This window comes from Homo sapiens, chromosome 20 (assembly GCF_000001405.40).
Source record: "Homo sapiens chromosome 20, GRCh38.p14 Primary Assembly".
Taxonomy (NCBI): Eukaryota; Metazoa; Chordata; class Mammalia; order Primates; family Hominidae; genus Homo; species Homo sapiens.
In genome coordinates this window covers 1337117-1361313 of record NC_000020.11, presented here as the reverse complement: position 1 = coordinate 1361313, position 24197 = coordinate 1337117, and the positions used below count along the sequence as shown (strand labels likewise).

The following is a 24197-nucleotide window of genomic DNA, read 5'->3' as shown; positions in this document are numbered from 1 at the left end:
CTCCTTTTCCTCCTGTTTTTTGTTTACTATGTTAAGCATTTGGAAGGTCATTTTAATCTGGATACACATGTCCTTCAGTTTGGAAGGTTTCTGATATTTCTTTGATAGGTATATTTTCCACAAACATATTTTCTCCCAAAACATATCAGAAGAGTGGTATTATTTTACATTTTTAAACATTTACGCTTGGCTTAATAGAATGAGTTCTCACATCTACTTCTGCATTCAATCTTGCAATATGTTGTTTTGGTTGAAATCTATGAAGAAATTACAACTAAGCACATTTTTAAGGACGCTTGTGTCTGAACAGATAGTAATACAGAAACCAACATAACGAGAAATACCTGGCATCTCTTTATCTGAGGACTTTGCTAAATGGGAAATATTTAGTCATCTTCTTGAAAAGAATTTATCCAAACTTGCATTGGTAGAAAACAAAACTGGCTTTGTTTCCCTGTATAAAAACCACTTAGCACTTCATTTGTATATTCAAATGTAGTTTGTGAAGAGAGCAATCAGAGAAATCATGTATCCAATTTGTAAATACAATTAACCAAGAGAATATACAGGTCAGATCGCCCTTCAACTGGTCTCACAATTGCCATCACAAACTGAGTCAGCTGGCCAAAGTGATGGGGAGACATTCTGAGAAATGTGTCATTAGGAGATTTCACCATTGTGTGAACATCATAGAGTATACTTACACAAATCTGTATAGTATAGCCTACCTACCACACACCTAGGCTATACGGTACAACCTGTAGCTCCTAGGCTACAAAACTATACAGCAGGTTTGTACAGTGACTGTTGAATACTACAGGCAATTGGAATACAGTGGTAAGGATTTGTGTATCTGAACAGATCTAAACATAGAAAAGGTCATGTGTCACTACATGACGTTATGCCAGTTGGCAATAGGAATTTTTGAGCTTCATTATGGTTTTATGGGACCACTGCTGTGTATGCAGCCCACCACTGATGAGAACATCATACGCAGTGCGTGACTGTACTTCGACCACCAGGGGTACAAGTGCATGGACTGGACAGAAGGAAAACCTCAGAGAACCTGAGGATGTGGATAAGACTGTTTAGTGAGGTTCTCAACTCATCACAAGCTACCAGGTATTCGGCATGGAGGGGTGGTGACAGTTATGCAGGACATTGACATATGATGATACAGTGGTCATTCTTACATAAAATGAAGAAGACTGTCCAGTAAATTCTATGAGTTTGCAGTAGATGGATCATCAAAGGATATGGGTAATCTTGTAGTAACAGGACTATGTTACTAGGAATTTCACTAGTCCTGTTACTAATTCATAGGCCATGGAGCAATATAAGACCAAGGTTACAAACCCCTAAAATTGTCTGGAAAGAGAATGACTTTTTTATGTACTTTGGTCTGAGCATGTGATTCATAAGTATATGACAGCAGATCAATTCAGATACATCCAGAAGAAGCCATCCTTTATTCTGAAATGTCCTAACCATACCTGAAATAAATACTAAGTGATGCACCAGAATTTTCCTCCCTGGGATCAATGAGCAGTAGCATTGAGAGCAGAAACGGCAGCCGTGGTAACAGGAGCTGCTGTGGTCAGTAGGCTCTCAGGGTCTGTCAGGCAAGAGCATAGGATAGTGACAATTCAAATGAAAGCAAAAACAAACATAAAAAGGAATGAACTACTGAAATGCCAACAATATGGATGAATCTCACAGATATTATAATAAGTAAAAGGAACCAGACTTTTTTTTTTTTTTGAGACGGAAGCTCACTCTGTCACCAGGCTGGAGCGCTGTGGCGCGATCTCGGCTCATTGCAACCTCCGACTCCCTGGTTCAAGCGATTCTCCTGCCTCAGCCTCCTGAGTAGCTGGGATTACAGGCATGTGCCACCATGCCCAGCTAATTTTTGTATTTTTAGTAGAGATGGAGTTTCACCATGTTGGCCAGGATGGTCTCGATCTCCTGACCTTGTGATCCACCCACCTTGGCCTCCAAAAGTGCTGGGATTACAGGCGTGAGCCACCGTGCCCGGCCCAGACTTTTACAAACATTACGTTCTATGTGATTTTCTTCATATGGAACTCTAGAAAAGACAAGTTCAACTTACACTGGCAGAAATCAGGCCAGGTCTGAGGCTCAGGATGGAGGAAACTGACTAGGAAGGAAGACAAAGGGAACCTTTTGGGGTAATGGGAGTGTTCTATATCTTGATTGTGGTTAGGGTTACATGGATATACACATTTGTCAATCTCATGGAAATGTATACTTTAAATGGGTACATTTTATTTCATGTAAATTACACCTCAAAAAGTTTATTTAAAAAATACATGGGGCTTCCATGTTCACACAAGATAAAGTAAGTGGACTCCACCCTATTCCTTCTGCTAATTACAACTAAAAACTAGACAAAATACATAAAGCAACTATCAGAAACCTCTAAAGGTGAAGTAAACTAGGCAGACTGGCAAGGAAACTTAAGTCTCAAGGGATGACCTGGCAGGGAGTTCCCAGAGGCTTTCGTAGTGTTCACGTATTTCAACCTGGGCACTAGAGGAAGGCACAATCTGAAATGACCAACAAGCACAGACAACAAAAGTCCTAAGGAAAATGCTTTCTCTAGTCAAAGGACCTAGAAGAGGACAGTAATGAAGGATGGCCTTTTTTTTTTTTTTTTTTTTTGAGATGGAGTCTTGCTCTGTCTCCCAGGCTGCAGTGCAATGGTGCGATCTCGGCTCACTGCAACCTCCGAGGATGACCCTTTTGACAATACTTGCTCTACTCCAGGTGAACACCATCAAAGAAACCACAGCCCTCCTCTCCCCAACAGGCTCTGCAGAGACTGGTGTGGAGTTCGGTGAACCATCCCTGCTGTGCACGAATGTGGGGGCAACACTCCCCTTCCTCACCAGTGATTCTGGAGACAAGTGGAGCTCTATTAATGAGCCCCATCCTGCACTAATGGGATAAGAGGTGACACCCCCTCCCTCCTCCTTCTTCCCATGGGATGCTATGGACACTCTAGGGTAGAGCCCTGTTGACTACCACCTGTCCTGCAGTAACAGAGGCAGCACCTACCCCCTCACAGAGAGTGTGGGCAGAATAACAGAGAGGAGGGAGCTGCGGAAAAAGCGTCTTTCAATTTGTGCACATCCCCAAGTGGCCTATGTGTGAAACTCATCAGAATTAACACAGCAAAAGCTTTAAGAACTGAGCTATGCTGTGGAATACCACTCGGGTTTCTGGGTATCCACTGGTCTCTGGGTAGCACACAGGCAGAGCAGACCAAGATAACGCTGAATTTGAAACCAAACTGACATTCAAACTCACAGACCACAGAAGTGAGTCATGATGTGCATTCTGAATTGAAGCAGGTTGAATGCATGCTAAAGTAGAAAATATAAAAAGGAATCAGAGTTTCATAATACCCAAAGTACTGATAATATTGAATATTACTTGTCATGTCAGAAAACAGAAAAAGTCAACCAGAATGAGAACAGGCAATCAACAGATGCCAATACCAAGATGGTACTGATGTTGGGATTGTCTGGCAAGGATTTTTAAAGCAGCTATCATTAAAAAACAAACAAAAACACTTTTAACAAGAAACTATGAACACTCAAAAAACAAAGGTTCAATAAATAAAAGATACAAAGAAACCCCAGCCGGGTGCGGTGGCTCATGCCTGTAATCCCAGCATTTTGGGAGCCCAAGGTGGGCGGATCACCTGAGGTCAGGAGTTTGAGACCAGCCTGACCAACATGGAGAAACCCCGTCTGTGCTAAAAATACAAAATTAGCTGGGCGTGGTGGCGTGCACCTGTAATCCCAGCTTCTTGGGAGGCTGAGGCAGGAGAATCGCTTAAACCCGGGAGGCGGAGGTTGTGGTGAGTCAAGATTGTGCCATTGCACTCCAGCCTGGACAACAAAGAGTGAAACTCCATCTTAAAAAAAGAAAAAAAAAGAAAAAGAAACCCCAAATGGAAGATTTATTTTATTTTAAATCATTTTTAAAAAAATAGAGACAGGGTCTCACTACATTGCCCAGGCTGCTCTCAAACTCTTGTGCTCAAGCAGTCTGCCTGCCTCAGCCTCCCAAAGCGCTGGGATTACAGGTGTGAGCCACTGTGCCCAGCCTATTTTATTTTTTATTTATTAACTTATTTCTTTTGAGACAGGGTTTGTCTCTGTCACCCAGGCTGGAGCGCTGTGGCGTGATCTCAGCTCACCTGCAAGCTCCACCTCTTGGGCTCAAGCGATCCTTCCACCTCAGCATCGTGAATAGCTGGGACTACAGGCACATGCCTTCATGCGCAGCTAATTTTTTGTATTTTTTATAGAGATGGAGTTTCGCCATGTTGCCCAGGCTGGTCTGAAACTCACGGACTAAAGTGATCTGCCCGCCTCAGCCTCCCAAAGTGCTGGGATTACAGGCATGAGCCACCACACCCAGCCCCAGATGGAAGTTTTAGAACTTAAAAATATATATATATACACAATAACAGAAACAAACTCATTGGATGGACACAATGGCAGAGTGGAGATGACAGAGGAAAGAAACATTGAACTTGAAGACAAACCAATAAAAGTTACACAGTCTGAACAGAGGAAAAAAAAGACAATAGATTTTTTAAAAATGAATAGGACTTTAAGGACCTATGGGAAAATACTCCAAGATCTAAATACTCTTTAGAGCTATTGAAGTTCCATAAGGACAAGAGAAAGAGTGCAGTGCTGAAAATATACTTAAAGAAATCATAGCTGAAAACTCCCCAAATTTGGTGGAAGGTGTAAATCTTCAGATTTAAGAAAATGAGCAAACCCCAAGCCAAGAGGACTCAACAACCCTAAAATAGTATGCACTGAACAACAAAGTTATAAAATAATGTGAAAACTGACAGAATTGAAAGAAGAAATAGATAAATCCACAATTACAGCGTGGACTTCAACATCCTTCTATCACTAACTGATAGAACCATTAGACAAAAAAAAAAAAATCATCAAAGATTAGAAGAAATTAACAACATGAGCAACAACATTTAAGTGACATTTCTAGAACATTCCATCCAACAGCAGCAGAATACACATTTTTTTTTCAAGTGCACATGGAACATTTACCAAGATAGACCATATCCTGGGACATAAAACAAACTTTAACAAATTTAAAATAATTGAAGTTATGTGAAGTATGTTTTCTGATCAGTTGTGATGGAATTAAACTGTATGCCTCTCACTCATTCTTAAAATGCAAGGCTGGTTTTATACTGAATTAATAATTAGTAACCTTCCAAAAAAAGAAAGTACAAGACCCAGATGGTTTCACTGGTTTCACTGGTGAAACCAAATGTTTAAGGAATAAATAGTATCAATTCTCTGCAATTTCTTCCAGAAAACGGAAGCAGAGGGAATACTTCTTAACTCATCCTATGAGGCCAGCACTACCCTAATACCGAAACGAGATTAAGATATTATAATAAAGGAAAATTAAAAACCAATCTCTCAGGAACACAGATGTACAACTCCTCAATAAAATACTAGCAAATCAGGAGGAGGTGGAGCAAGATGGCTGAAAAGAAGCCTCCAGCAATTGTCTACCCTGCAAGAACACCAAATTGCACAATGATCCACACAAAAAAGCACCTTCATAGGAGCCAAAAATCAGACAAGTGATTACAGTACTTGATATTAAAATCATATTAAAGAAAGAGGCACTGAGTGTGGTATGGAGAGAGAATATGTGCACTTCTGGAAGAGAGCACAGTGATTGTGGGACACTGCAATGGAACTCAGTGCCGCCCTCTCACAGTGGAAAGCAACGGGGCAGAACTTCGCGAGTGCCCATGTCCTAGCCAGGGGCAAATCATCCATCCCAGCAGTCAGAACGTGAGTTCTGGCAAACCCCGCCAAAGTGGGCTAAAGTGCTCTGGGGTCCTAAATAAATTTGGAAGGCCGTCTGGACCAGAAGGACTGCAATTCCTGGGCAAGTCCTGGTGCTATGCTGTGTTCGGAGCCAGTGTACTTGGGAGGCATGTGACCTAGTGAGACACCAGCTGGGGTGATCAAGGGAGTGCTTGTGTCATCTCTCCCCCAACTCCAGGCAGCACAGCTTACAGCTCCAGGAAAGACTCTTTCCCTCTGCTTGAGGAGAGGAGGAGAAGAGTAAACAGGGCTTTTTTTTTGGCAAATTGGATACTAGCTCAGCCACAGTAGAATAGGACACTAAGCAGAGGTCTGAGGCACTCGTTCCAGGCTCTAGCTTCTGGATGACATTTCTAAACTTACCAGAAAGGAACCTACTGCCAGAACAGAAGGACCCAGTTCTGGCAAAATTCATCACCTGCTGACTAAAGGGCCCTTTGGCCTTGAATAATCAGCAGTGTTAGCCAAGTAGTACTGGCCGCAGGCCTTGGGTGAGACTCAGAGCCACACTGGCTTCATGTGTGACCCAGTACATTCCCAGCTACGGTGGCCTCAGGGAGAGACCCCTTCTGCCTAAGGAAAGGAGAGGGAAGAGTAAAGGGGACTTTGTCTTGCAGCTTGGGTACCAGCTTGGCCACAGTTGGGTAGAGTACCGAGTACCAAGTGGGACTCTGGGGCCCCGATTCCAGGTCTTGGCTCCTGGATGGCATTTCTGGACCTGTACTGGGCCAGAGGTAAGCCCACTGCCCTGAAAGGAGAGAATCAGGACTACAAGCATTCACCATAAGCTGACTGAAGAGCCCTTGGGTCTTGAATGAACATAGGTGGTAGCCAGGCAGTACTCACCACGGGCCTAGGACAGTGGTGGCCATGGGGAGACTCCTCTGCCTGAGGAAAGGGGAGGGAATAGTGGAAAGGACTTTGTCTTGTGGCTTGGATGCAAGCTCAGCCGCAGTAGAATAGAGCATCAGGTAGACTCCTAAGGTTCCCAACTACAGGCCCTGCCTTCTGGACGACATCTATGGACCCACCTGGGGCCAATCTCAGACAGAGATTGATGAATATTTGGATAGATAATTCAAAATAGCCATTTTGAAGAAACTCAACAAAATCATGTTGATAACAGAGAAGAAATTCAGAATCCTATCAGATAAATTTAACAAAGAAGTTGAAATAATTAAACAGAACCAAGCAGAAACTCTGGAGCTGAAAAATGCAACTGACATACTGAAGAATGCATCAGAGTCTCCTAACAGCAGAATTTGTCAAGCAGAAGAAAGAATTAATGAGCTTGAAGACAGTGTATTTTAAAATACAGTCAGGAGACAAAAGAAAAAAGAATAAGAAAGAATGAAGCATGCTTACAAGATCTAGAAAATAGCCTCCAAAGGGCAAATCTAAGAGTTACTGGCCATAAAGAGGCAGTAGAGAGAGGGACTAGGGTAGAAAGTTTATTCAAAAGGATAATAACAGAGAACTTCTCAAACCTAGAGATATATCAATATTCAAATACAAGAAGGTTATATAGAACACCAAGCAGATTTAACCCAAATAAGACTACCTCAAGACATTTAATAATCAGACTCCCAAAAGTCAAAGATAAAAAAGGATCCTAAAAGCAGCCAAAGAAACAAATAACATACAAAGGAGCTCCAATACATCTGGTAACAGACTTCTTAGTGGAAACCTTACAGGCCAGGAGAGAAACTAGCATGACATACTTAAAGGGCTAAAGAAAAACTAACCTTTTTATACTGGAATTTATCCAGTGAAAATATCCTTCAAACATGAAGGAAAAATAACGACTTTCCCAGACAAACAAAACCTGAGGGATTTTATCAACACCAGATCTGTCCTACAAGAAATGCTAAAGGAATTTCTTCAATTAAAAAAACAAAAAGGATGTTATTGAGCAATAAGAAATCATCTGGGGGCTCACACCTTTAATCCCAGCCCTTTGGGAAGCCAAGGTTGGGGGATTGCTTGTGTCCAGGAGTTCAAGACCAGCCTGGGTAACATAATGAAACCCCATCTCTACAAAAAGTAAAAATTAGCTGGGCATGGTGGTATGTGCCTGAAGTCCCAACTATTTGAAAGTCTGGGATGAGAGGATTGCTTGAGCCTGGGAGGTTGAGGCTGCAGTGAGCCACACTCCATTGCAGTCCAGCGAGGGTGACAGTGAGTCCCTGTCTCAAAAAAAAAAAAAAAATCATCTGAAAGTATAAAATTCACAGATAATCATAAGTACACAGAAAGACACAGAATATAACACTGTAACTGTAGTGTGTAAACTACTGATCTCTTGAGTAGAAAGACTAAATGATGACCCTGTCAAAAATAATAACTACAACTTTTCAAGACATAGTATAATAAGATATAAATAGAAACAACAAAAAGTCAAAAGCAAGGGGATGAAGTTAAAGTGTAGAGTTTTTATTCATCTCTTTGCTTGTTAGTTTGCTTATGCAATCATTGTTAAGTTGTCATCAGTTTAAAATAATGGGTTACAAGATATTATTTGCAAGCCTTATGGTGGCCTCAAATAAAAAAACATACAATGGATACACAAAAGTAATAGCAAGAAATTAAAACATACCACCTGAGAAGTCACCTTCATTAAAAGGAAGATGGAAAGGAAGGAAAGAAGGAAAAGAAGACTACAAAACAACCAGAAAACAAATAACAAAATGGCAAGAGTAAGTGCTTATCAATAATAACATTGAAGACAAATGGACTAAACTCTCCAGTTAGAAGACATAAAGTAGGCCGGCCACAGTGGCTTACACCTGTAATCCCAGCACTTTGGGAGGCCAAGGTAGGTGGATCACCTGAGGTCAGGAGTTTGAGACCAGCCTTGCCAACATGGCAAAACCCCGTCTCTCTACTAAAAACACAAAAAACTAGCCAGGCATCATGGCGCGTCTGTAGTCCCAGCTACTTGGGAGGCTGAGGCAAGAAGATTGCTTGAACCTGGGCGCTGGAGGTTGCAGTGAGCCAAGATTGTGCTACTGCACTCCAGCCTGGGTGACAGAGAAAGGCTCCATCGAAAGAAAGAAAGAGAAAGAAAGGAAAGAAGGAAGGAAGGAAGGAAGGAAGGAAGGAAGGAAGGAAGGAAAGGAAGGAAGGAAGGAAGGAAGGAAGGAAGGAAGGAAGGAAAGGAAGGAAGGAAAGGAAGGAAGGAAGGAAGGAAAGAAGGCAGGCAGGCAGGGAGGGAGGGAGGGAGGGAGGAAGGAAGGGAAGGAAGGAAGGGTGGCTGAATGGATTTTAAAAAAATAAGACCCAATAATGTCTTGCCTACAAGAAACACACTTTAAAGACACACGTAAACTGAAAATAAAGGGATGGAAAAAGACATTCCTTGCAAATGGAAACCAAAAAAGAGCAGTATATTTCAAGACAAAAACTATAAAAAGAGACAAAGAAGATCATTATATAATAAAGGGGTCAATTCATCAAGAGAATATAACAATTGTAAACCTATATGCACTCAACACTGGATCACCCAGATATATAAAGTATATATTATTAGAGCTAGAGAGACAGACTCCAGTACAATAACTGGAGACTTCAGCATCCCACATGCAGCATTGAACAGATCATCCAGACAGAAAATCAACAAAGAAACATTGGACTTAATCTGAACTATAGATTCCATCTATAGACCAAATGGACCTAAAAGATATTTATAGAACAGTTTATCCAATGACTGCAAAATACACATTCTTCTCTGCACATAGATCATTCTCAAGGATAGACCATATGTTAGGCCCCAGAACAAGTATGTAAAAATTCCCAAAAATTGAAATACTATCAAGTATCTTCTCTGACCACAGTGGAATAAAACTAGAAATCCAATAACAAGAGGAATTTTGGAAACTGTCCAAGCACATGGAAATTAAACAATATGCTCCTAAATGACTAGTGGGTCAATAAAGAAATTTAAGAAGGAAAGTGAAAAACATTTTGTTATCGTATAAAAAATTTACAAGTAGAAAAAAATAAGAAAAAAGAAAAAAATTTGTTGAAATAAATGAATACGGAAACACAACATACCAAACCCTATGGGATACAACAAAAGCAGCACTAAGAGGAAAATTTACAGCAATAAGCACCTACATCAAAAAAGTAGAAAAACTTCAAATAATCTAATGATGCATCTTAAAAAACTAGAAAAGCAAAAGCAAAACCCAAAATCAGTAGAAGAAATAAAGATCAGAGCAGAAGTAAATAAAATTGAAATTAAAAAATACAGATCAATGAAACAAAAATTTGTTTTTTTGAAAAGACAAACAATGTTGATAAATTTAGCCCAACTAAGAAAAAAAAAGAGAGGAGACACTAATAAAATCAGAGATGAAAAGGAGACATTAAAACTGATACTGCAGAAATTCAAAGACACTACTATTATTAGACACTACTATGAGCAACTATATGCCAATAAATTGGAAAATCTAGAAGAAATAGATAAATCAACCTACCCAGATTGAACTATGAAGAAATCCAAAACCTGAACAGACTAATAACAAGCAATGAGATCAAAGCCATAATAAAAAGTCTCACAGCAAAGAAAAGCCCGGGACCCAATTGCTGCACTGCTGAATTTTACCAAACATTTAAAGAAGAACTAATACCAATCCTACTCAAACTATTCTGAAAAATAGAGGAGAAGGGAATACTTCCAAACTCATGCTACAAGGCCAGTATTACTCTGATACCAAAACCAGAGAAAGACACATCAAAAAAAGAAAACTACAGGCCAGGATCCCTGATGATCATTGATGCAAAAATCCTCAACAAAATACTAGCAAACCAAATTCAAAGACACATTTAAAAAATCATTCATGGCCGGGCATAGTGACTCACGCCTGTAATATGGTGAAACCTCATCTCTACTAAAAATACAAAAATTACCTGGGCATGGTGGTGGGGGCCTGCAATCCCACCTACTTGGGAGGCTGAGGCAGGAGAATTGCTTGAACCTGGGAGGCGGAGGTCACAGTGAGCCATTGCAGATTGCGCCATTGCACTCCAGCCTGGGCGACAAGAGCGAAAGTCTGTCTCAAAAAATAATAATAATAATTAATTATGACCAAGTGACATCCATCCCAGGAATAAAAGGATGGTTCAACATATGCAATTCAATCAGTGATACATCTTATCAACAAGAATGAAGGACAAAAACTACATGATCATTTTAATTGATGCTGAAAAAGCATTTGATAAAATTCAACATCCCTTCATGATAAAAACCCTCAAAAAACTGGGTAGAGAAGGAATGTACTGCAATATAATAAAACCCATATATGACATATATGACAGACCCATCACTACTATCATACTGAATGGAGAAAAACTAAAATCCTTTCCTTTACGATCTGGAATAAGCCAAGGATGCCCAGTACACTATTATTCAACATAGTACTAGAAGTCCTAGCTAGAGCAATCAGACAAAAGAAAGAAAGAAAGAAAGGGCATCCAAACTGGGAAAGAAGAAGTCAAATTACCCTTGTTTTTAGACAATCTGATCTTCTATTTGGAAAAACCTAAAGGCTCCACCAAAAAACTGTTAGATAAATTCACTAAAGTTGCAGAATACAAAATCAGCATACAAAAATCTGTAGCATTTCTATATGCCAAGGATGAACAATCTAAAAAAGAAATCAAGAAAGTAATTCCATTGGGAATAGCCACAAATAAAATACCGAACAATAAACTTAACCAAAATAGTGAAAGATCTCTACAATGAAAACTATAAAACATTGGTAAAATAAATTGAGGAAGACACAAAAAATAGAGATATTCCATGTTCATGGGTTGGAAGAATCAATATTGTTAAAATGTCCATATTATCCAAAGCAATCTACAGAGTCAATGCAATTCCTATCAAAATACCAGTGACATTCTTAATAGAAATAGAAAAAATTCTATAATTTATATAGAACCACAAAAGACCCAGAATACCCAAAGCTATTGTGAGCAAAAGGAACAAAACTTGAGGAATCACATTACCTGGCTTCAAATTATACTACAGAGCTATAATAACCAAAACAGTATGTTAATGGCATAAAAACAGACAGACTAATGGAACAGAATAGAGAACCCAGAAACGAATCCATCTGATCTATTTAAACAAAGATGCCAAGAATATAAATTGGGAAAAGGACAGTCTCTTCAATAAATGGTGCTGGAGAAACTGGATATCCATATGCAGAAGCATGAAACTAGACTATCTCCTGCAATATATACAAAAATCAAATTAAAATGGATTAAAGATTGAAATCTAAGACCACAAACGATGAAACTACTAAAAGAAAACATTGGAGAAACTCTCCTGGACATTGGACTGGGCAAAGTAATACCTTACAAGCACAGTCGGCCAAAGCAAAAATGAACAAATGGGATCACATGAAGTTAAAAACCTTCTTCACAGCAAAAGAAACAATCAACAAAGTAAAGAGACAACCCACAGAATGGGAGAAAATATCTGCAAACTATCCATTTGATAGGAGATTAATAACCAAAATATATAAGGAGCTCAAACAACTCAATAGGAAAAAAAATCTAATAATCTGAGTTTAAAATGGGCAAAACATCTGAATAGACATTTCTCAAAAGAAGACATACAAATGGCAAACAGGCGTAGGAAAAGGTGCTTAACATCATTATCATCATCAGAGAAATGCAAATCAAAACTACAGTGAGATATCATCTCACCCCAGTTAAAATGGCTTTTATCCAAGACAGGCAATAACAAATGCTGATGAGGATGTAAAGAAAAGGCAACCCTCATACACTGTTGGTGGGAATGTAAATTGGTACAAACACTATGGAGAACAGTTTGGAAGTTCATCAAAAAACTAAAAATAGAGATACCATATGATCCATCAATCCCATTTCTAGATAATACCCAGAAGAAGGGAAATCAGTATATCAAAGAGATATTTGCACTCCCATGTTTATTGCTGCACTATTCACAATAGCCAACATTTAGAAGCAATGTAAGTGTCCATCAATAGATGAATGAATAAAGAAAATGTGGTACATATACACAATGGGGTACTATTCAGCCATAAAAAAAGAATGAGATCCTGTCATTTGCAACAACATGGATGAAACTGAAGGTCATTATGTTAAGTGAAATAAGCCAGGCACAGAAAGACAAACTTTGCATGTTCTCACTTATTTGGGGGAGCTAAAAGTTTTTTAAAATTGAACTCATGGAGATAAAGGTAGAATGGTGCTTACCAGAGGCTGGGAAGGGTAGTTGGGGGAGTAGGGAGGGAAATGTGGATGGTAAATGGGTACAAAAATATAGTTAGACAGAATGAATAAGATCTAGTATTTGATAGCACAACAGGGTGACTACAGTCAACAAAATTTATTGCACATTTTAAAATAACTAAAAGAGTATAATTGGATTGTTTGTAACACAAAGAAAGGATAAATGCTTGAGGTGATGGATACCCCACTTACACTGATGTGATTATTACACATTGAATGCCTGAATCAAAATATCACATGTACCCCATAAATATATATACCTACTATGTACCCCCAATTTTTTTTTAAAAAAATTAGCAAATCAAATCCAACAATGTATAAAAATCATTATACACCATGATTTGACCAAGCAGGATTTATTCCAGGCAGGAACAACTGGTTCAACATTCAAAAATCAATTAATGTAATTCATCAAATCAATAAGTTTAAGAAGAAAATCATGTGATCGATCATATCAATGGATGCAAAAAAGGCATTGCCAAAATCCAACACCCTTTCATAATAAAAACTCGCAGCGACCTAGGAGTAATAGGAAACATTCTCAAATTAACAAACGGGAGTTACAATAATTCTACAACTAACATCATACTTAATGATGAGAAACTGGATGTTTTCCCCCCTAATATTGGGAACAAGGCAAAGATGTCCCCTTTCGCCACTCCTATTTAATATTGCACTAGAATTTCTTGCTAGTGCAATAAGACAAGAAAAGAGAATAAAAGGCATGCCAATTGGGAAAGAAGAAATAAAGCTGTCTTTATTTCTGTGTACAGTGTGGCATGATTGTCTAACATAGAAAATCCCAAAGATTCAACAACAAAAGACTCCTGGAACTAATAAGTGATTATAGGAAGTTCACAGAATATAAAGTTAATATTTAAAAGTTTAGTGCTTTCCTTTATGCCATCAATGAACAGTTGGAAGCTGAAATTAGAAACATAATGCCATTTACATTACCACCAAAAATAATGAAATACCTAGGCATAAATCCAACAAAATATGTACAGGATCAATATAAGGAAACACAGAAAACTCTGATGACAAAAATCAAAGAAAATATAAATAAATGGAGAGATATTCCATGTACATGAATAGCAAAACTCAATAATTTTAAGACGAGAATTCTCCCCAACCCTATCTATAGATTCAACACAATTCCAATAAAATTCGAATAAGTTATTTTGTGAATATTGACAGATTCTAAAGTTAATATGGGAAGTCAAATGACCTAGAATGACCAACACAATCCTGAAAAGGAACAAAGTCAGAGGATTAACACTACCTGACTTTATGACTTACTATAAATCTACATTAGGCAAGACTGTGTGGTATTGGTGAAAAAACAGACAAACTGATCAACAGCACAGAATAGAGAGCCCAGAAATACACCCACATAAATATAGTCAAATTATATTTGTCAAAGAAGCAAAGGCAATTCAGTGCAGGAAGAGGGAAGAGGAGAATCTTTTTAACAAATGGGAAAATCCAGACAGTCCTTCCACCTTTTATAAAAGTTAGATCAAAATGGATCTTAGACTTAAATGTGAAACATAAAACTACAAAACTTACAGAAGCTAATATAGGAACCAATCTATGTGGTTTGTGGTTTGGCGATGAGTTTTTAAATTCAACACCAAAAGCACAACCCATGGAACAAAAAATTCTTAAACTGAACTTTATTAAAATTAAAAACTTCTGCTCTGTGAAAGAATGTTAAGAGAATGAAAAGGTAAGCCAAAGATTAGAAGTTATTTGCAAAACACATTAACTGATAAAGGACTGGTATTCAAAATTATAAACACTTAAAACTCAACAATAAGAAAAGAACCTAATTTTTTACATGGGCAAAAGGTCTGAAAATTACACCTCACTAAAGAAAATATGCAGGTGACAAATAAGCATAGAGATGAAGATCCACATCATATGTCATTAGGAGATTGCAAATTAAAATGAGATTTCACTACATATCTTTTAGAGTGACTAAAATCCACAAAACTGACAACACCAAATGCTGGCAACAGAATGCTCTTTCATTGCTGGTGAGAATGCAAAACGCTACAGCTACTTTGGAAGAGTTCAGCAGTTCCTTATAAAACTAAACATATTTGCACCATATGATCCAGTAATTGCACTCCTAGATATTTACCCAATTGAGTTGTAAACTTATGTCCACACAAAAACCTGCACATAAATATTTATAGTAGCTTTATTCACAATTGCCAGAAACTGGAAGCCACCAAGATGTCCTTTAATAGGTGAATGAATAAACAAAGTCTGGCACATCCATTCAATGGAATATTATTCAGCAACAGAAAGAAATGAGCTACCAAGCTAAGAAAAGACATGGAAGAAACAAATGCATATTGTTACATGAAAGAAGCCAGTCTGAAAAGTCTACATAGTGTATGATTTCTACTATGACATTCTGCAAAAAGCAGAACTATAGGGAATGTAAAAAGGTCAGTCAGTGGTTGCCAGGGGTTTGGTGTGAGCGCAGAGGGTTAAATAGGTAGAGCACAGAGGCTTTTCAGGGCAGTAAAAACTATTCTGTATGACAGTGTAATGGTGGATACACAATATTATGCATTTGTCAAAACCCCACAGATCTGTACAATACAAAAAAAGAGAACCTTAATATAGACTATAGTTAATAATAATGTATCAATATTGGTTTGTTAATTAAAACAAGTGTCATTGGTACATAGTGCCAAACTGTGCTCCATAGGTTCAAAGGGCCCTGCTTCATGTACTCTTTCCTTTGTGGTCTTTGTGTCATCAACCAAGTTGTTAGGGTTGATTTGCAAGGTAGCTGGTCCCCTGGTTCTTTCCTCTCCACGTGAGCCTCCACAGAACTGCTTGCGTGTCCTCACAACACAGTGGTTGGTTTCCCCCAGATCCAGTGATCCAAAAGACCAACATGGAAGCTGCAGTGCCTTTTATGACCTAGTTTGGAAGTCACACATTGTCACTTGCATCATACTCTACTAGTAACAGATCAGCCCTGATTCACTGTGGGAGGAGACTACACAAGGGCATGAATACCTAGGAGGTAAGTGTCATCCGGGACCATCCTGAAGGCTGGCTACCACAGGCCCAAAGCCTGTTTCCAGACCCAGCTCCCGCAGGTCTTGAGGTTCAATCCCTACTTCCAACAGTGGGACCTTTATTTTTGGTTTCTGGTCGAGAAAGATTTTGAGAATGAGTGTATATGTTTATATTTATGTATGTATTTAAAAATTTTTTCTATCATTTTTGTGTTTTTCAAGTAAAAAGATAGATTTTAGCATGTGCTAATCTATCCACTTGATCCCCAAATCTCCTATTTCTCTTCTAAAAGTTTATTTTTCCATTATAAAATTACTACAGCTTTATAGTAAGAGAGGTATAGAAGAATTCAAAATCTTATCCCTTCCAAAACAACTTGTAATAATTCATTATTGTCTTTTCTTCCAGTATTTTTAAAATAAGTTTTTTTTTTAATTTTATAAAACATGCAGCTAATGCATATTCATTTTGGAAAAATTATTTAATAGATAAAAACCAAAAACAATAAAATTACTAGCATTTGTAATTCTTCACCCCGATTTATTTATTTATTCTAGGTTTATTCTAGGTTTTTTTCCTGTGCACACACATAAAAATTCATATACATATATATACCCACACCTTTTAAAAGTGGGTTTCTACTGCATATGCCACTACTTGCCTGGGTTATTAAATTTATTCTTGGAGTGTCATTTAAATTCCTGAAGAGCGATCTGCTATATGAGTGTGTGTGTGACACTCTTTAGTCAATCACTATTTTTAATCACCTAGACTTTTTTTCACTACTATAAACGATGTGATGAAGATCCTTGGCTAAATCTTCATTCACCTCACAGTTATTCCTTAAAGCTAAATCCTAGAAGTAGTAGAACTCTTGGTTCAAAAAGTATGTACACTTTTCAGGCTTTTGATACATTTTATCAAAATCCCTTCCATCAGGTCTTCCTCTTGAGGCAGGAAAATAGGGTCTGGAGGCAGGGAACATAAGGCCAATTCACACTTCAGCTATGACAGGAAATATCCTCTCCATGAGGCATACACCAAGTAAATGACTTTGTAACTTTACTTCATCCTCTTCATTTACACAGGGCATACATGAAGTAACCAATGGAATCCTCTAGGGGGTATTTAAACTCCCAAAAATTCTGTAACGGGGCCCTTGAGCCCCTATGCTTGGGTCCATTCCCAAACTGTGGAGTGTACTTTCATTTTCAATAAATTTCTGCTTTTGTTGCTTCATTCTTTCCTTGCTTTGTTTGAGCGTTTTGTCCAATTATTTGTTCAAGACGCCAAGAACCTGGACACCCTCCACCGGTAACACTCTTACAATTATGCAGTTGTGCAGTGCATAGCCCGTGCCACTATATGTGGCAGTGTTGCCCACTTAGCAATGAGGAGCGCATATTTTCCTGCATTATCACCAAAACAATGTTATCATCTTTTATTTATTATTATTTTTTTGAGTCAGGGCCTTGCCCTGTCACCCAGGCTGGAGTGCAGTGACGCAGTCTCAGCTCACTGCAACCTCTGCCTGTCAGGCTCAAGCCATCCTCCCACCTCAGCCTTCCGAGTAGCTGGGACTACAGGCATGTGCCACCATGCTTGGCTAATTTTTGTATTTTTTGTACAGATGGGGTCTCACTATTTTACTCAGGCTGGTCTTGAACTCCTGAGCTCAAGTGATCCACCTGCCTTGGCCTCCCAAAATGCTGGGATTATGGGTGTAAGCCACCATGCCCAGCCTGGATGTTATCATCTTTTAAATGTTTGCTAAAAAATGAGTGAAAAAGTATTTTGCTGTTCTATGCTTTTTTTGGAGACGAAGTCTCACTCTTGTCCCCCAGGCTGGAGTACAATGGCGCTATCTCGGCTCACTGCAACCTCCGCCTCCCAGGTTCAAGCACTTCTCCTGCCTCAGCCTCCCGAGTAACTGGGATGACAGGCGCCCACCACCACGCCCGGCAAATTTTTTGTATTTTAAGTGGAGACGGGGTTTCACCATGTTGGCCAGGCTGGTCTCAAACTCCTGACCTCAGGTGATCCACCCTCCTCGGCCTCCCAAAGTGCTGGGATTACAGGCGTGAGCCACCGTGCCCGGCCGTTCTATGCATATTTTTAATATACTGTAAGTGTGGTTCCAGTGACTCACTGAAGAAATATTTATTAAGGTCCTATAACACAATAGTAAACAAAAGAGTCCCCGTCGTCATGGACCTTAACTTCCAGTGTACGCATTGCATACGTGTTTGGGTGTCCTGCCCCTCACCTGTCAGGACAGGGACATCCCCATCATGGGCTCCTCTCTGCTCTGGAAAGACATTAGATGTGACCCATCACAGCCTCCTCTGTATACACCAGGCAGACAAAACCTCCCGAGCTGTCTCTCAATGTTGGCAGACTGACCACTTCTCAGTCTTCACAGGGGAGAACCAGGGAAGAAACAATCTCTGCCAACCAATGGCATTCAGACCTCTCCTGTCATGTTTGATGGATATGAGGTGGTCCCTCAATGGAAATAATGGACTCAGGACACTGGCGAGATGAGCTTGAAAGAGTTATCTGGGTCACGGGAAGACTGGAATGGTAATATTGAAGCTTTAGGAACTAGGGAAATTCGACCTTGGTGAACATTACAAGGGCAGGCCTTCATGGTTATGTACGTTCTTCTGGAAGTGATGGAAACTGAATATAAAAGACTTTGTGGCATAGCAGGAACTCAGCCTTTTACTCTGTTCTGGAAGGATCCTACCTACTCAGAGAAAGTAGCAACCACTGCACAGGGAACTGGGGAAGGTCAAAAGCCAGGCCATGACTGGCTGCATCTGCTCTTGCTCTGTGGCCATCTCACTACCCTTAGCTAAAGTAATGTGAAACATGGGGTGTATATATCATGCGTGTGTGTGTGTGTGTGTGTGTGTGCATTTGTTCTCTTCTGGGCCATCTGTTGTCCTCACAGCCCTGCAGTGAGTCAGACTCAGCCATCAGATTAAAAGTGGGAAAGGAGCAGAAGTTCCAGGCAGGAATGAGGCTGCCTTTTAGCCAAGCTCAGCTGTAGCATAACTCACTGGGGATGGCTGAGTGACAGGACTGGAAGATGTCCTTTGGGACCACAGCCCGGGGCTGTGAAGCCAGTGCAGCAGTGAGACACTGGGAAGGGGTTTTTGCACAGGCTGGGAAGAGGCGCCCAGTGGCAGCCATGGGGCAACTCCAGGAACAGGGGTCCTTGAGAGCATCAGAGATCAGCCCCTTCACGTGAGGGGCCCCTACTAAGCATTAAAAGGCCTAGCTAGGTGTAAGGATAGCTGGGGAGCAAGAGGAGAAGGGGATGGGCAGATGAGGCTGACCTGGCCCAGCACCGGCATGTGTTTGACTCCTAGGTGGGTGCCCAGGGTTGGAGCAGGCAAGCATTTGTCATTCACTTCTGCCCAAGGCCTGACATCTCCATCATCCAGGCTAAGCAGAGCAGGGAAAGGATACCCATCTGAAGCACAGAGAGGGTATGGCTTCCCTAAGGACACATAGCATAATCAGGCTTAAGACTCAGAAGCAATGGCTCCCTGTCCCGGGTCACTCCCTCGTTCACTCCTTTCTGGGATGCCCATTAAGGACCTCTCCTTATGATCATCAAAACATTTACTGAGCACAATAGGGCAGTGGGAGACCCACCTCGTACAGGCAATGAGGGGGACGTAGTCTGCAGAACAGTTGAAGGTGACAAGAAAACCACCAAAAGTAGGTCTGCTTTTTAGTATCACTGCACTGGCAATTTCAAAGTCAGTGATTAAATTAGTCCAAAAAACCTTCTGTTAGTCTTCAGTTCTAAACAATCATTGTGGTTATGGTTAAGTTTTAATATGATATTAGCACATTTAAAAACCACCTGTAATAAGCATTGTATATAGACATTAATCCAGAGAACTTCCAATTATATACTTGGCCCCCAACACACCCAGACTCAGCCAGGGGCATTTGTTTCAAGTTTGCTAGCAATTTGGAATGCTTCAAAGAAATGGTAACGATGATCGTAACTCATTCTCACACACTACCTCCCCATCAGCACCATCTTAAAGTTTCTTGAATGAGGGTGTGCCCGAGAATGGATGTCCAAGAAATCTGCCAGCCAGCAGGCAGAGGGGGAGTTAGGTGTTGTCACTATCTGCTATCCATTTGTTTGGGTGGCTGTGATAAAGTCCAGTGGAATTTTACCCGATTCCCTATCACTTAAAATGACTTTTAAAATGATGCCACATGGAAATAACAGATTATATTGAGTATACAGAAGACTGATTTACTGCTAGCCAGACAATGCGATTGAAAGAGAAGGCTGGGCATGGTGGCTCAGGCCTGTCATCCCAGCACCTTGGAAGGCTGAGGTGGGATGATCACTTGAGTCCAGGAGTTTGAGACCAGCCTGGGCAACATGGCAAAACCCCATCTCTACAGAAAATAATTAGCTGGATGTGGTGATGCATGCCTGTAGTCCCAGCTACTCAGGAGACTGAGATGGGAAGATCACTTGAGCCCAGGAGTTAGAGGCTGCAGTGAGCTATGATCATGCCACCGCAATCCAGCTTGGGCAACAGAATGAAACTCTGTCAAAAAAAAAAAAGAAGAGAGAAAAGAAAAAGGAAAGTAAAAATTGCTAAACACCTCCAAAGTCTATGTAGGAAATATGTAAATGGTGGTCCATTTCCAAGATGAAGTGCCTCAAGTAGGCCTGGGTCTGCCAGCTACAGAAGGACAGAATATCCTAGGCCCTTGCTTCAATAGCTGGAGCCTGCTTGTTGGGGTGCCCTTAGTTGCTCTCATCCGAACCTAAGAGTTTAGTCTAGAATGAAAATTTACTAGCCTGCAAAATAGCTCACTTTATCTATTCTTTTATCAGCTTGCCTGACTACCTAGGTCATAGGTCAAATACTTAAAAAGCCCTTGAGCAGACTATAATTGCAATGCATTATGGGCTGCAACAAAATGCACCGAGACAACCCTAAAGAAAACACCCAAAACCCCTACCTGGCCAGGCGCGGTGGCTCATGCCTGTAATCCCAGCACTTTCGGAGGCCGAAGCGGGTGGATCACTTGTCAGGAGTTTGAGACCAGCCTGGCCAACGCTGGTCTCCATAATACTCAGCCTATGAGGAACCAGGAGAGGGACCTGCACACTAGAGGATAAATTGCTTGTTGTAACTGTGCGGGGTATGCCTGCCCACCAGACACCTGATCTTGCAAGACTGTATTAAAAGTCTCACTTCCGCTATTCTCCGTGTCTCTGAGTCCATTCTTTGGGTTTGGACGGGTGAGTTTGTTTCTCACAGTCTAGACTCTAGATGTGAAGAACTTTGATCATATCACCAAAGGAGATGGTGGTATGCAATTTTATAAGTAAAAATACACTAGTGTCAGTTTTTTTTACAAGGGAAACCTGATTTGCATCTTTTTAATTAAAAAAAAAACAACACTGTTATTAGGTCAGGTGCAGTGGCTCAGGCCTGTCATCCCAGCACTTTGGGAGGCCGAGGTGGGTGGATTGCTTGAGTTCAAGACCAGCCTGAGCAACATGGAGAAACATCATCTCTACTAAAAATACAAAAATTATCAGGGTGTGGTGGCATGTATCTGTAGTCCCAGCTACTTGGGAGGCTGGGAGGATGAGGCGGGATGATGCCTTAAGCCCAGGAAGCGGAGGTTGCAGTAAGCCGAGATTGCGGCACTGCACTCCAGCTTGGGCGACAGAGCCAGACCTTCTCAAAAAAATAAAAATAAAAATAACCTGTTATTAAGCAGATTTAATATTTTCCTTTAAAAAATCATCGTACCTTTGATGGCAGCATAGAATTAAGTAACATCAACAAAAGTCAGGCTTTTTCTAGCTGTAAGCAACAGAAAACCCACTTCAAACTGGCTTCAGTGAAAAAGGCATTTGATTGTCTTGTACCTGAAAAGCCTAAGGGTGAGCAGTTGGCTTCACGCACAGCTGGACTTGAGGGGTTAAGCTGCATCAGGAGGCCCTGGGTCTCTCTCTCCATCCCCAGCTCCGCCTTTTCTGCAATGGCTCCATTCTCCATGGGGGCAGGATGGCTGCCAGTTAACTCCAACCTCAAATCCCCTCAGGTTTGACGCTTCCAGACTTCTCCATAATCAGGACCAGTTCTAAGCCTGATGCCATGGGCTGGAATTGGGTCACATGCCCCACCCAACCCCCATTCCTCTGAGGTTTGGGAAATGGAATGCACAGATCCGCAAGCCTCTCTTCCCCTTTTGGAGCCAGAAGAAGAGTCAACTCCATCCACTGCACATGGCTGAGGTGGAGGAGAGGAGGCTTCCCCAGATGAAAATAGAGGACAGCTACCATAAGGGGAAGTGGATAACAGGTGACCCCCAAAGGCCATACCTGGAAGGTAATTATGTAAATGTATATTAATATGTAATAATAGTTGGAGGTTCAGAAAGGTGACTTCTGAATCACCCACCTGCCAGCCCAGGTGACCCAAGAGGGAAAGCATCTTTGTTAGACCATCTGGCAGAACGGGAGAGTCCATGGTGTTCCCTGGTATGGTAGGGGTGGGAAGCCAGAGGCTACCAAGGGAGAGTGACTTGCCCAGGGCCACATAGCCACCCACAGGCAGCGATGAAACTAGAACACAAAACTCAGGTGTCTCGTTCCCTATCCAGTGCTCCCAGCTGGCCTTGTGAGGGCAAAAAGGGGGTTCCAGGAGGGGTCCTCCAGCTTGTTCATCACCCCCGGAGGAGCGGCTCCAGCAGGCTCTCCTAGCTGCCATGGTGGATATTTTCAACAAGCCCCTTCCGCTCCCCTGCCCCCAGTGCCCTGGGATCTCCCAGTCTGTCTCAGGTGAAAGGAGGGGCAGGTCAGTCTTACCCTGGGGTCCTGAGTCCCACAGGCCTTCCCAGTCTTGACAGCACCAATCTGTGGCCTTCATCTTACATACAATGCAGTAAGAGCCCTAGGCAAGGGCCTCTACCCTCTCCAGCTCTTTCTGAAGCCACCACCACCAGGTCAGGCTGGGTCTTCCTGGGCTCCAAATCTCCACCCCACCGGATCCTAAGATACCAGCAGTGCTCCCACAGCTGCGTTCAGAGCCAGCACCACTCTGACATTAACCCACCAGCCAGGCTACCTGGGGGACTTCTCTGTGGGAATGCTTAGGTGCAGCAATGATTGAGCTGGGGAGGGAGGCCTGTCTTGAAGTACTGTTTGCATAAAAGCACATTATTTTATGTCGATGGTGTTTATTTGGATAAGGGAGTTATTATGATAGAGATTAAAAGGGGCTTAAGCACCCCCCAGCCCACACCTTGGTGCCACCACTGTTATCAGCAGTTTAAACGAGAGGCACCGCACCTTAACTCAATGACAGCACCAACAGTGGAAATCCAGACCCCTCAGGTCATGGGAAGAACAGACTGGGATGTGGCCAGGACACATGGACAAGGTCTTCCCGGCACGTTAGCACTGTAAACAAGGATGATATTGATGACACAGAAAACTGGCAATGGTAAATTAAGTGAAAGGGGAAAATTATGAGAAAGTATGTATAACATGCATATAATCATATATGTATGTATACACATATAAAGTTATAGTAGTTAAGAGCATAGGATCTGAAGCCAGTCTGCCTGGGTTCAAATCTTTCACCTCTTACTTACCTTGAGCATTTCATTTAAACTCTCTGTGCCCCAATTTGTTTATCTGTAAAATGAGGCTAATCCATCTAAAGTGTCTAACACGGGTCCGGACATACAGTAAGTGCTCAAAAATGTTAGTGGCTAATCTTGTTAGTCTCTTGCACAGGAAACTTGCACCCCCAGCCTTGGTGGTGACCAGGCCTGAGCCTCCCCACCCCTGGCTCAGGAACCCCAGCACCCCGCCACTGCCGGCTGCCCATTGTTCCTGCCTTCCTGTTCTGCCCTGCTCCGGAACACAGCGGGAGC

At 41.1% G+C, this 24197-nt stretch overlaps 2 long non-coding RNA genes across 4 annotated transcripts in view, besides 1 other annotated feature; one reads left to right on the top strand and one right to left on the bottom strand.

Annotated features, from left to right (window-relative positions):
- FKBP1A-SDCBP2 (FKBP1A-SDCBP2 readthrough (NMD candidate)) overlaps positions 1-24197 on the top strand; it is an 83264-nt gene that overhangs the window by 31859 nt on the left and 27208 nt on the right. The window lies entirely within an intron of this gene.
- The window catches only part of SDCBP2-AS1 (SDCBP2 antisense RNA 1), a 53393-nt gene that overhangs the window by 17422 nt on the left and 11774 nt on the right, over positions 1-24197 (bottom strand). The gene's annotated exons all lie outside the window — the stretch shown is intronic.
- Positions 19115-19409: a silencer, noted in NCBI's record as "tiled region #14422; K562 Repressive non-DNase unmatched - State 19:H4K20". NCBI's record gives its function as "represses a minimal TATA promoter and a strong SV40 promoter by Sharpr-MPRA in K562 cells {active_cell/tissue: K562}" and the evidence as "EXISTENCE:reporter gene assay evidence [ECO:0000049][PMID:27701403]".